Genomic DNA, 13,688 nt, shown 5'->3' with positions numbered 1-13,688 from the left:
AGGAGCTTGCCTGGGTTCTAGGGAGCAAGAGTGAGAGGCTCAAGTGTCTTCCTCAGAGTGATGGGGCAGGGTCTCTGGAGATGGCTGGGGGTCGCTGTGCTCACCGCCCTTCTACATTTGAAGTGAATGCGGCCTAGAAATGACCCCAGTGGCTTCTTGATTGACAAGGAACGGTGTGTGGCTCAACTGCAGATTGATAAGATTGAAATGAAGATTCCAGTTAGCTGTGTGTGCTTGGGGTCAGGGAAGAAGGGGGGTCCTGGTACCTTGGTCTTACAGAATTACAGCTTAAAGCCCCCTCTGTTCCTTGTTTGTTTGTTCTTTGTTTTTGAGACAGAGTCTCGCTCTGTCGCCCAGGCTGTAGTGCAGCGGTGTGATCTGCAACCTCCGCCTCCCCTGCTCAAGCGATTCCCCTTCTCAGCCTTCCAAGTAGCTGGGGTTACACGTGTGCATCACCACACCTGGCTAATTTTTGTATTTTCAGTAGAGACAGGGTTTCGCCATGTTGGCCAGGCTGTTCTCGAACTCCTGACCTCAGGTGATCCACCCGCCTTGGCTTCCCAAAGTGTTGGGATTACAGGCGTGAGCCACAGCACCCAGCTGGACTCTGCTTTTTTTTTTTTTTTTTTTTTTTTTTAAATAACACTTCACATGGTTCAGTGCCTCTTTTTCTTTTTCTTTTTTTTTTTTGAGACGGAGTCTCGCTCTGTTGCCCAGGGTGGAGTGCAGTGGCGTGATCTCGGCTCATTGCAAGCTCCGCCTCCCGGGTTCATGCCATTCTTCTGCCTCAGCCTCCCGAGTAGCTGGGACTACGGGCGCCCGCCACCACGCCCAGCTAATTTTTTGGTTTTTTTTTTTTTTTTACTAGAGACGGGGTTTCACCGTGTTAGCCAGGATGGTCTCAATCTCCTGACCTCGTGATCCACCCTCTTCGGCCTCCCAAAGTGCTGAGATTACAGGCGTGAGCCACTGTGCCCGGCCCATTCTTTATTTTTATTTCTCTTTTTAAAATTTTTTTAGAGATGAGGTGTGACTGTGTTGCTCAGGCTGGCCTCCCAAATTGCTGGGATTACAGGTGTGAGCCCCTGCGCCCAGCCCAGGTTAGGGTTCTAGGTAGGAGATGTTTTTTGGCAGGTAATAAGATTTCAGATCCTTTTTTTTTTTTTTGAGATGGAGTCTCGCTCTGTCGCCCAGGTTGGAGTGCAGTGGCGCGATCTCGGCTCACTGCAAGCTCCACCTCTCAGGTTCACACCATTCTTCTGCCTCGGCCTCTCAAGTAGCTGGGACTACAGGCGCCCACCACCACACCTGGCTGATTTTTTTTTTTTTGAGACGGAGTTTCACCTTTTTGCCCAGGCTGGAGTGCCATGGCACGATCTCGGCTCACTGCAACCTCTGCTTCCCAGGTTCAAGCGATTCTCCTGCCTCAGCCTCCCAAGTAGCTGGGATTACAGGCGCGTGCCACTACGTCCGCATTTGTATTTTTGTAAAAAAAATACATTTTTTTTTTGTATTTTTAGTAGAGACGGGGTTTCTCCATGTTGGTCAGGCCAGTCTTGAACTACTGACCTCAGGTGATCCGCCCACCTTGGCCTCCCATAGTGCTGAGATTACAGGCGTGAGCCACTGCGCCCGGCCCCTGGCTAATTTTTTTGTATTTTTAGTAGAGACGGGGTTTCACCGTGTTAGCCAGGATGGTCTCGATCTCCTGACTTCATAATCCACCTGCCTTGGCTTCCCAGAGTGCTGGGATTACAGGCGTGAGCCACCATGCCCAGCCAAGATTTCAGATCTTACTTTTGCTTCACTTTTGAAAAAAACTAGGCCAGGCACAGATCACTTGAGCTCAGGAGTTTGAGACCAGCCTGGGCAACATGGCAAAACTCCATCTCTACAAAGGAAGGGTTTTGAAAAAACTGTGAAATGTTACATATTCTGAAAAGTACATAAAACACAGAGTTTAGCGAATAACTAAACTCTTTAAACCACTTTCAAGTTGTCATTATAGCCGGTGGTTCCTAGTGTGCCTGGTAAGCACATTCCAGGGCCTGCCACTCACACCAGAATTGGAATTTCAGGAGACCCCAGGAATGAGGTGCCTGGTTGGGACCTGTCTGGAAGCCTCAGCTGCCCTTTCCTGGTGGTGGAGGGAAGGGAGGTTCTGGGCTTAGGAGTCCAGGCCCTGTGGGAGGCATTACTTGGCCTTTGACCTCCAGCCAGTTACCTAGATTTTTTTTTTTTTTTTTTTGGAGACAGGATCTCACTCTGTTGCCCAGGCTGGAGTGCAGTGGCGCGATCATGGCTCACTGAAGCCACCACTTCCCGGGTTCAGGTGATCCTCCCACTTCTGCCTCTTGAATAGCTGGGACTGACTATAGGCACGTGCCACCATGCCTGGCTAATTTTTGTATTTTTAGTGGAAACGGGGTTTCACCGTGTTGGTCAGGCTGGTCTCGAACTCCTGACCTCGTGATCTGCCTGCTTTGGCCTCCCAAAGTGCTGGGATTACAGGCGTGAGCCACCGTGCCTGGCTCAACTAATTTTTTAATTTTTTTGTAGAGACGAGGTTTTGCCACATTGCCCAGGCTGCAACTTGGGTTTTTTTTTCTTTTCTTTTTTTTTTTTTTTTTTTGAGACAGAGTCTTACTCTTTCGCCCAGGCTGGAGTGCAGTGGTGCGATCTTGGCTCACTGCAACCTCCACCTCCTCGGTTCAAGCAATTCTCCTTGCCTCAGCCTCCTGAGTAGATGGCATTACAGGCGCCTGCCACCACGCCCAGCTAATTTTTGTATTTTTAGTCGAGATGGGGTTTCACCATGTTGGCCAGGCTAGTCTCGAACTCCTGACGTCAAGTGATCTGCCTGCCTCAGCCTCCCAAAGTGCTGGAATTACACGCATGAGCTACCGCGCCCTTCCTGCACCCTGGTTTTTGTTTCCTCTCCAGAGCTTGCCACCTTTTTTGGTGCAAGGTGCCTTAACTTAACAAAGTTGTCTCCGGAAGCTAAGTTCCAGGGAAATGACTCAACTCGCCCGCCCAGCAGCTGCCTCCTAGGGTCCTCTGGCCGGAGATGGAGAGTGGGGGTGGGGGCCCATTCGAGCTGCTTCCTGGGCCAGTTTCTCGTCTTGTCTGGGCATCACCCCTCAGATACCTGCCCCACCAGGTTGGGTGCTGGCCCCACAATTGCATCAGGGGTCTGGCCTGAGATGAAACTTCTCTTTTTTTTTTTTTTTTTTGAGATGGAATCTCACTCTGTCACCCAGGCTGGAGTGCAGTGGCACAATCTGAGCTCACTGCAAACTCCACCTCCCAGGTTCAAGCGATTCTTCTGCCTCAGCCCCCCGAGTTGCTGGATAGTTGCTGTGGACAGTAGCCCACCACCACGCCTGGCTAATTTTTGTGTTTTTAGTAGACATGGGGTTTCACCATATTGGCCAGGCTGGTCTCGAACTCCTGACCTCGTGATCCACCCGCTTTGGCCTCCCAAAGTGCTGGGGATTACGGGCGTGAGCCACCGCGCCTGTCCAAAATTTCTGTTTTATTTGGAGCACAGCATGTGGAAAAAATGATGTTGTGGAATTTGCTGTGGCTGGATGGAGAGAGCTGGAACTTAATTCCTGGCCTGCTGTCTCTCCCTCTCTTTTTAAAAAAAATTATTGTAATTTCTATGAGGTTTTAAGAAAAATTCAGTGTGGTCGTGTAACTGTGGAATCTATATGATGCTGGATTTTTTTTTTTTTTTTTTGAGACAGAGTCTCACTCTGTCACCCAGGCTGGAGTGCAGTGGTGCGATCTCGGCTCACTGCAACCTTCACCTCCCGGGTTCAAGCGATTCTTCTGCCTCAGCCTCCTGAGTAGCTGGGACTATAGGCGTGTGCCACCACACCCGGCTAAGTTTTGTATTTTTAGTGGAGATGGGGTTTCATCATGTTGCCGAGGCCTGTCTCAAACTCCTGACCTCAGGTGATCCACCCATCTCAGCCTCTGAATGTGCTGGTTTTACAGGCGTGAGCACAGCATTACAGCGTCTGGCCCAGTGCTGGAGTTTTTAATAGTGTTTTGCCCTAAGTTCTCATTCTTACCACGTGAGCTCTGTGATGGCATTCTTTCATAAATCTGCAAACTGGGAATTGGGAGGGGTACAGTTCATTCCTTGATAAGGACTGTCCCTGGTTCTGATAAAGATTGTCTCTGATTCTGATCAAGTTTGTCTCTGGTTCTGATAAAGGTTGTCCCTGATTTGGGAGTCTGTCTTTTGGGATTGGGCCCCACAAGTCTGGGGTGGGTTCCAGGAATCTGATTTTTATTTATTTATCTTTTTTTTTTTTTGAGACAAGGTCTCTCTCTGTCATCCAGGCTGGAGTGCAGTGGCAAGATCCTAGCTCACTGCAGCCTCAACCTCCTGAGCTGAAGCGATCCTCCCACCTCAGCCTCTTGAGTAGCTGGGACAACAGGCACATGCCACTGTGTCCCACTAATTTTTTTTTTTTTTTTTTTAGACAAAGTCTCGCTCTGTTGCCCAGGCTGGATGCAATGGTGCGATCTCGGCTTACCGCAACCTCTGCCTCCTGGGTTCAAGTAATTCTGCTCAGCCTCCTGAGTAGCTGGGATTACAGGTGCCCGCCACCAGGCCCAGATAATTTTTGTATTTTTTTCTTTCTTTTTTTTTTTTTGAGATGGAGTCTTGCTCTGTCACCAGGCTGGAGTGCAGTGGCGCGATCTCAGCTCACTGCAACCTCCACATCCCGGTTTCAAGTGATTCTTCTGCCTTGGCCTCCCGAGTAGCTGGGACTATAGGCATATGCCACCACGCCTGGCTAGTTTTTGTATTTTTAGTAGAGATGGGGTTTCACTATGTTGGCCAGGCTAGTCTCGAGAACTGACTTCGTGATCCGCCTGCCTTGGCCTCCCAAAGTGCTGGGATTACAGGCGTGAGCCACCACGTCTGGCCTAATTTTTGTATTTTTAGTAGAGACAGGGTTTCACCATGTTGGCCAGGCTGGTCTCGAGAACTGACCTCGTGATCTGCCCTCCTCAGCCTCCCAAAATGCTGGGATTACAGGTGTGAGCCACTGTGCCCAGCCTGTCTTGCTAATTTTCTTTTGAGACAGTGTCTTGCTCTGTTGCCCAGGCTGGAGTGCAGTGGTGTGATCTTGGCTCCCTGCAATCTCTGCCTCCGGGGTTCAAGCGATTCTCCTGCCTCAGCCTCCTGAGTAGCTGGGACTACAAGCGCCTGCCACCATGCCCCGGTAATTTTTGTATTTTTAGTAGAGACGGGGTTTCACCATGTTGGCCAGGCTGGTCTCGATCTCTTGACCTTGTGATTTCCCCGCCTCGGCCTCCCAAACTGCTGGGATTACAGGTGTGGGTCACCATGCCCGGCCTTGTTCTGCTAATTATTAAAATATTAGGAGGGAAGGTAGAAGTAAGTGTCTAACCTCTGACCCTCATGAGCCTCATGGGTCCTTACGGGCCATGTCCTTTGGTTTCCGTGTGGCTTTCTCTTTTGGAGGATGGAGGGTACTTCTTTGTTCCCAGGGAAGAAAGGTGGGACACATTCCAGCACACCTGTCTAGGGCCTGGCGAGGGCTTAGCAGGATGGGAATCCTGTCTGGAGAGGGTGAAAGGACTGTCGCAGTCAGAGTTCCCAGGAAACCTCCGATACCCGTGTGGGGTGTGCAGATAGGCTCTTCCTCCATGGCCTTCACGGTTGCCATGGTAGCAGCCTGGCTTTGCAAAACTCAGAGCTTCCATCCAGGCAAATATGTACAGGAAGCAGGAGCAGGCTGGAGCCAGAGGGTCGTGTAGACACAGTCCCCAGAAAGATGATGTAGTGGAGATGATTCCGGGCACTCTCTCCTCGGCGTGGTCTTTACAGAGATCAGCTGCTCTGAGAGGCTCCCCTTGGTAAAGCCTTCTGCCTTCCTTTGTCCCCGATCTGGGGACTTCATGTCTCATTAGGTCCAGCTCTTCTCCCTCTTCATCGTATAAACCAAAAAGGCATCAGGCATTTTGACTCAGGCCCACATTAGGGAAGAACACCTTGTAATTTGCCAGATATGAACTACAGCAATGGAAAAGGAAGTGTGCATGGCCAGGTGCAGGGCTCTTGCCTGAAAGGCTAGCGTTGTGGAGGGCAGATCACTCGAAGCCAGGAGTTCAAGACCAGCCTGACCAACAGGGCAAAACCCCGTCTTTACTAAAAACACAAAAATTAGCTGGGCACGGTGGCACATGCCTTTAATCCCAGGTACTCAGGAGGCTGAGGCACGAAAATCTCCTGAACCTGCGAGGTGGAGGTTGCAGTGAACCAAGATCGCACCATTGCACTCCAGCCTGGGCCACAGAGTGAGACTCTTTCTCCAAAAGAAAAAAAAAAAAAAAGCCGGGCATGGTGGCTCACACCTGCAATCCCAACACTTTGGGAGACTGAGGCGGATGAATCACTTGAGGTCAGGAATTTGCAACCTGATTGGCCAACATGGTGAAACCCCGTCTCTACTAAAAATACAAAAATTAGCCGGGCGTGGGCGTGGTGGCAGTCGCCTGTAATCCCACGTACTTGGGAGGCTGAGCCAGGAGAACTGCTTCAACCCGGGAGGCGGAGGTTGCAGTGAACCGAGATTGCGCCACTGCACTCCACCCTGGGTGACAAAGCAAGACCTTGTCTAAAAAAAAAAAGAAAAAAAAAAGAGGCCGGGCATGGTGGCTCACACCTGCCATCCCAGCCCTTTGGGAGGCTGGAGCCCAGGAGTTCAAGACCAGCCTGGGCAGCATAGCAAGACCCTGTCTCTATTATAACAAAACACCCTTTGGGAGGCCAAGGCAGGAGGATCACTTGCCCAGGAGTTTGAAATCAGCCTGAGCAACATAGGGAAACCCCGTCTCTACAAAAAACCAAAAAAATTAGCTGGACAAAGTGGCATGCGTCTGTAGTCCCAGCTGCTTGGGAGGCTGAGGCAGGAGAATCTCTTGAGCCTGGGAGGCGGAGGTTGCAGTGAGCCGAGATCACGCCATTGACTCCAGCCTGGACAACAATAGTGAAACTTCTGTCTCACAACAAAAGAAATAAACACATGATGATCTTTTTTTGTAATCTTTCATTTTTGAAGGGAGACCCTGGCTTACAGCTCTATAATGGAGTTTTGAAGGATTTCGTGAATTCTTTGTCATTCAGTTGAGAGTTTTAGTAAAAACACCTTCTTTCCCATGGATAAGGGCTTCTCTTTGCTTCTCTGCCTAGCTGCAGGCTAGGCTGACAGCCATCCTTGGGGATCCTGTGGGAATGGTGTCCCCCTTATTTTCAGGACATATCCAATGATGATGATGACATGCACCCTGCAGCAGCCGGGATGGCAGACGGGGTCCACCTCCTAGGGTTCTCTGATGAGATCCTCCTTCACATCCTGAGTCACGTCCCCAGCACAGATCTGATTCTGAACGTCCGGCGTACCTGTCGGAAGCTTGCAGCCCTGTGCCTTGACAAGAGCCTCATCCACACCGTGTTGCTGCAAAAGGACTATCAGGTGAGCAGGCGTGGGGGCAGGAGATGAGAAACAAGCTAGATCTCAGTCTTTGAGGACTGGGCACAGCCCTGCAGTGGAACCCTGTGTGCTGATATAAAGGTGGCAGGAACTCCAAGTCCTGACTGGCGCCGTCTGCAGGATGCATTGAGGGACAGAAGCAAGGGGCAGAAAAGCATGGGTGGTGTGCTGCCTGGGGAGGAGGGTGCAGATGTATGTGGACATGGTTCTGGGAGGGAACCTAGGGCCTTGGGAGTGGGGGAGAGGGGTTGGAGATGTGCTTTCTTGTGGATCGCTAGGAGTGGAATTGCTGGGTCTTGTTTGTTGTAAAGTTAAATATGTGGCTCTCCAGTGGTGCAGTGGGAGGGCACCATTTTGCACCCCCCAGCAGGGTGCAGGAGTTCCAATTGCTCTGCAGCCTTGTCAACACTTGGTACTGTCAGTTTTTTAAGTTTTAGCCATTCTTTTTTTTTTTTTTTTTTTTTTTTTTTTTTTTTTTGAGATGGAGTCTCGTTCTTTTGCCCAGGCTAGAGTGCAGTGGCATGATCTCGGCTCACTGCAAGCTCTGCCTCCCGGGTTCACACCATTCTCCTGCCTCAGCCTCCCGAGTACCTGGGACTACAGGCGCCCGCCACCACGCCGGGCTAATTTTTTTGTATTTTTAGTAGAGACGGGGTTTCACTGTGTTAGCCAGGATGGTCTCGATCTCCTGACCTCGTGATCTGCCCGCCTCGACATCCCAAAGTGCTGGGATTACAGGCGTGAACCACCACACCCGGCCTGGTAATGAATCTTAAAGATAAAAATAAGGCCAGGTGCGGTGGTTCACGCCTGTAATCCCAGCACTTTGGGAGGCTGAGGTGGGTGGATCACCTGAGGTCAGTAGTTCGAGACCAGCCTGGCCAACATGGTGAAACCCTGTCTCTACAAAAAATACAAAAAATTAGCTGGGCATGGTGGTGGGAGCCTGTAATCCCAGCTACTTAGGAGGCTGAGGCACGAGAATCCCCAGGCTGGAGTGCAGTGGCACGATCCCGGCTCACTGCAACTTCTGTCTCCCAGATTTAAATGATTCTCCTGGGTCAGCCTCCTAAGTAGCTGGGATTACAGGTGCCCACCACCATGCCCAGCTAATTTTTGTATTTTTAGCAGAGGCAGGGTTTCATCATGTTGGCCAGGCTGGTCTTGAACTCCTGACCTCAAGTGATCCACCCAACTCGGCCTCACAAAGTGCTGGGATTACAGGTGTGACCCATTGTGCCTGGCAAGCTTTAGCTCTTTCTGCTGGAGGGTCTTCAGTGGATGAGGGAGCTGAGTGTGCTCCCTGCAACGCTGGTATCAGGCCTCCAGGCCTCCTCTCCATGAAGCTTTGTTCTCTGCAGAGGAAGGGCTCGGCGCCTCTAGCCAGTGCCTCTCGGTGTACATCCAGAGCATTTTTTTTTTTTTTTGAAACGAGGTCTCACTCTGTTGCCCAGGCTAGAGTGCAGTGGTACTATCTCAGCTCACTGCAACCTCCACCTCCTGGGTTCAAGCGTTTTTCCTGCCCCAGCCTTCTGAGTAGCTGGGATTACAGGCGCCTGCCACCACATCTGGCTAATTTTTGTATTTCTAGTAGAGACGAGGTTTCACCATGTTGATCAGGCTGGTCTCAAACTCCTGACCTCGTGATCCGCCCATTTCAGCCTCCCAAAGTGCTGGGATTACAGGCATGAGCCACTGTGCCTGGCCTGGAGCATTTTTTTAATTTAATTTTTTGGCCGGGTCTGGTGGCTCATGCCTATAATGCCAGCATTTTGGGAGGCTGAGGCAGGTGGATCACATGAACTCAGGATTTCAAGACCCGCCTGGACAACTTGGTGAAACTCCATCTGTACAAAAAAAAAAAAGAGAAAAATGAGCATGGCATGGTGGCACATGTCTGTAGTTCCAGCTACTCAGGAGGCTGAGGTGGGAGGATCTCTTGAACCCCGGGACATCAAGGCTGCAGTAAGCTATTGTTGTACCACTGTGCTCCAGCCTGGACAACAGAATGAGACCTTGTCTCAAAAAACAGAAACAGGCTGGGCGTGGTGGCTCGATGATAGCTCACTGCAACGTCCACCTCCCAGGCTCAAGCCATCCTCCTGCCTCAGCCTCCCAAGTAGATGGGACCACAGGTGTGCGCCACTACGCCTGGCTAATATATTTTTTCTTTTTGGTAGATATGGGGTCTCGCTATGTTTCCCAAGCTGGTCTCCATCCCTTGAGATTAACTGATCTGTCTGCCTTGGCCTTCCAAAGTGCGGGATTACAGGCATGCGCTGAAGCGCCCGGCCTCCCTTCCCCTTTGTGGCTGGATCACATTTCCCCGTGTGGACAGTTGGCATCTGATTCATCCATCCACCTGTTGATGGACACTGGGGCTGTTTGTACCTGTGGCTTCTTGTGAATCTGTTGCAGTGAACAGGCACAGAGTAGGGAGGCTGAGTCTCAGTTTTCAGTTCCTTTGGGTCTGTCCCTAGGAGTGAAGTTGCTGGCTCATGTGGTAGCCCTATGTTTAGCTTTTTGAGGAACCACCACCAAACCGTTTTTTTTTTTTTTTCTTTTTTGAGATGGAGTCTTGCTCTGTCACCAGGTTGGAGTGCAATGGTGCCATCTTGGCTCACTGCAACCTCTGCCTCCCAGGTTCAAGCGATTCTCCTGCCTCCTCCCCAGTAGCTTGGCTTACAGGTGCCTGCCACCACACCCAGCTAATTTTTGTATTTTTAGTAGAGATGAGGTTTCACCATGTTGGCCAGGATGGTCTCGACCTCCTGACCTCAGGTGATCTGCCTTCGTTGGCCTCCCAAAGTGCTGGGATTCCAGGCGTGAGCCACCGGGCCCGGCCTTTTTTTTCTTTTTGAGACAGAGTCTCTTTCTGTTGCCCAGGCTGGAGTGTAGTGGCAAGATCTTGGCTAATTGCAACCTCCACCTCCCAGGTTCAAGCGATTCTTCTGCCTTCGCCTCTGGAGTAGCTGGGATAAAAGGCGCACACCACCATGCCTGACTAGTTTTTGTATTTTCAGTTGAGATCGGGCTTCACCATGTTGGCCAGGCTGGTCTCGAACTCCTGACCTCAGGTGATCCATCTGCCTTGGCTTCCCCAAGTGCTGGGATGACAGGCATGAGCCACCGTGCCCACCTGCCAAACCGTTTTCTACCGTGGCTGCACCCCTCTACCAGTCCCACTTAGCTGGGGACTCTTGGCTCCAGGTCAGAGTGCGGGCAGGTAGGCAGCGAGAGGTGGGGAGCTTCCCTCCCGGTGGAGCAGCTGCTGCAAGGGGGAGTGTGCGCACTGAGGGTTGGAGACCCGTAGGTGCCTTCAGCCCTTTCCTTCCTCTCCCCACCCTGCCTCTGTCCCGCAGGCGAGCGAGGACAAAGTGAGGCAGCTGGTGAAGGAGATCGGCCGGGAGATCCAGCAGCTGAGCATGGCTGGCTGCTACTGGCTGCCTGGCTCCACCGTGGAACACGTGGCCCGCTGCCGCAGCCTGGTGAAGGTGAACCTCTCGGGCTGCCACCTCACTTCCCTGCGCCTCTCCAAGATGCTCTCGGCCCTGCAGCACCTGCGCTCGCTGGCCATCGACGTGAGCCCCGGCTTCGACGCCAGCCAGCTGAGCAGCGAGTGCAAGGCCACCCTGAGCCGCGTGCGGGAGCTCAAGCAGACGCTGTTCACTCCCTCCTACGGCGTGGTGCCCTGCTGCACCAGCCTAGAGAAGCTGCTGCTCTACTTCGAGATTCTGGACCGCACGCGCGAGGGCGCCATCCTCTCGGGCCAGCTTATGGTGGGCCAGAGCAACGTGCCGCACTACCAGAACCTGCGGGTCTTCTATGCGCGCCTGGCCCCCGGCTACATCAACCAGGAGGTGGTGCGGCTCTACCTGGCTGTGCTTAGCGACCGCACTCCTCAGAACCTCCACGCCTTCCTCATCTCCGTCCCTGGCAGCTTCGCGGAGAGCGGCGCCACCAAGAACCTCCTGGACTCCATGGCGCGCAATGTCGTGCTGGATGCCCTGCAGCTGCCCAAGTCCTGGCTGAACGGCTCTTCCCTCCTGCAGCACATGAAATTCAACAACCCGTTCTACTTCAGTTTCAGCCGCTGTACCCTGTCAGGCGGCCATCTGATCCAGCAGGTCATCAACGGCGGGAAGGACCTGCGGAGCCTGGCCAGCTTGAACCTCAGCGGCTGCGTCCACTGCCTGTCCCCAGACTCGCTGCTCCGCAAGGCGGAGGACGACATCGACAGCAGCATCCTGGAGACTCTGGTGGCGTCCTGCTGCAACCTGCGCCACCTGAACCTCTCGGCCGCCCACCACCACAGCTCGGAGGGCCTGGGCCGCCACCTCTGCCAGCTCCTGGCCCGGCTGCGTCACCTGCGCTCCCTCTCCCTGCCTGTCTGCTCTGTCGCTGACTCCGCGCCGCGCGCCGACCGCGCGCCCGCCCAGCCGGCCATGCACGCAGTGCCGCGCGGCTTTGGCAAGAAAGTGCGTGTGGGCGTGCAGTCCTGTCCCAGCCCCTTCTCGGGCCAGGCGTGCCCCCAGCCCTCCTCCGTGTTCTGGTCTCTGCTGAAGAACCTGCCCTTCCTGGAACACCTCGAGCTGATTGGGTCCAACTTCTCCTCCGCCATGCCCCGCAACGAGCCCGCCATCCGCAACTCGCTCCCACCCTGCAGCCGCGCACAGAGTGTCGGGGACTCGGAGGTGGCCGCCATCGGCCAGCTGGCCTTCCTGCGGCACCTGACGCTCGCACAGCTGCCCAGCGTCCTTACGGGCTCCGGGCTGGTCAATATCGGCCTGCAGTGCCAGCAGTTGCGGTCCCTGTCGCTGGCCAACCTGGGCATGATGGGGAAGGTGGTGTACATGCCCGCGCTCTCAGACATGTTGAAGCACTGCAAGCGGCTGAGGGACCTCAGGTGAGGGGGCCGCGGGGACCTCTCGGGCCTCTGCTGGAAGCTGGCGGAGGGAACTGGGGCGTTCGCGTGGAGTTCGGTGGCTGGCCTGCCCTCCAGGAGTGCAGAGGCTGGGGCGGGGCCTCGCAGCGTGCCACGTCGGTCTCGGGGCTCTGGGGAGAGCGGCATCTAGAGGAGCTGGGGGTGCAGGAGGCGGATGTCTGAGCTTAGTGTCTTTATTCCTGATAGTGTTTGAGTGACTGCCTGGCCCTACTATGAGTCATCCTGTGAAATCGTCTCAGGACCCTGCCAGGTGCATCATTGTTGCCACTCAGCAGAGCCAGTAGGTGGGGGAGGCAGGATTCGAACCCAGGCCTTTCTGACCTGACTTTGCAATGCAATTCCTTTTTTTTTTTTAATTTAAATTTTATTTATTTATTTATTTTTGAGACAGGGTCTCGCTCTGTCATCCAAGCTGGAGTGCAGTGGTGCCATCATAGCTCACTTCATCCTCAATCTCCTGGGCTCAATTAATCCTCCTACCTCAGCCTATCAAGTAGCTGGGACTACAGGCATATGCCATCATGCCTGGCTATATATATATTTTTAAAATTGTGTACAGACAAGGTCTCACTATGTTGCCCAGACTGGTCTTGAACTCCTGGGCTTAAGTGATCCTCCATCTCGGCCTCCCAAAGTGCTGGTGCTGGGATTACAGGTGTGAGCCACCACCCTTGGCCTCCATCTTTGCTTTTTTTTTTTTTTTCTTTTTTTTTTTTTGAGACAGAGTCTCATTCTACACACCCAGGCTGGAGTGCAGTGGCGCGATCTTGGTTCATTGCAACCCCTGCCTCCTGGGTTCAAGCGATTCTCCCACCTCAGCCTCCCGAGCAGCTGGGACTACAGGTGTGCACCACCACACCTGGCTAATTTTTTTGTATTTTTAGTAGAGACGGGGTTTTGCAGTATTGGCCAGGCTGGTCTTGAACTCCTGACCTCAGGTGATTCACCTGCCTCAGCCTCCCGAAGTTCTGGGATTACAAGGCATAAGTCACCACGCCTGGCAAGGCAGATGCTTTCTGGGTCAGTAAGTACCATGTGAAGAAACCCCAGAGACTTGGAAGTATGTCAGAGAGCAGTCGGTTCAGAGAGCAGTCGTTTCAGAGAGCAGTCGGTTCAGAGGGTCCAGGGCACAATGGGAGGTGGGAGGGAGTAGGGAAGATGGGGCAGACAAGGAAGGTGGGCAACAGTGCCGAGGGGTTTCA

The 13,688-nt window shown here is 53.0% G+C and overlaps 1 protein-coding gene across 6 annotated transcripts in view, besides 2 other annotated features; it reads left to right on the top strand.

The window, feature by feature from the left end:
* The window catches only part of FBXL18 (F-box and leucine rich repeat protein 18), a 59,385-nt gene that overhangs the window by 875 nt on the left and 44,822 nt on the right, over positions 1 to 13,688 (top strand). For 4 of the 6 annotated variants that reach the window (NM_001363441.2, NM_024963.6, NM_001321213.2 and 1 more), the window contains exons 2-3: positions 7,305 to 7,523; positions 10,904 to 12,447. In NM_001363441.2, coding sequence (NP_001350370.1) covers positions 7,305 to 7,523; positions 10,904 to 12,447 — 1,763 coding nt within the window. The remainder of the gene's footprint in view (positions 1 to 7,304; positions 7,524 to 10,903; positions 12,448 to 13,688) is intronic. The other 2 variants (NM_001367781.1, NM_001367780.1) reach the window with 2 other exon arrangements.
* Positions 770 to 829: a silencer, noted in NCBI's record as "silent region_17916". NCBI's record gives its function as "represses an Ori minimal core promoter by ATAC-STARR-seq in GM12878 lymphoblastoid cells {active_cell/tissue: GM12878}" and the evidence as "EXISTENCE:reporter gene assay evidence [ECO:0000049][PMID:35858748]".
* Positions 1,761 to 2,699: an enhancer, noted in NCBI's record as "H3K27ac-H3K4me1 hESC enhancer chr7:5549867-5550805 (GRCh37/hg19 assembly coordinates)". NCBI's record gives its function as "activates a minimal SCP1, AML or CMV promoter by ChIP-STARR-seq in primed H9 embryonic stem cells {active_cell/tissue: H9 hESC(primed)}" and the evidence as "EXISTENCE:reporter gene assay evidence [ECO:0000049][PMID:30033119]".

Source organism: Homo sapiens, chromosome 7 (genome assembly GCF_000001405.40).
Source record: "Homo sapiens chromosome 7, GRCh38.p14 Primary Assembly".
Classification (NCBI taxonomy): Eukaryota; Metazoa; Chordata; class Mammalia; order Primates; family Hominidae; genus Homo; species Homo sapiens.
This window is presented reverse-complemented; position numbering and strand designations above follow the sequence as displayed.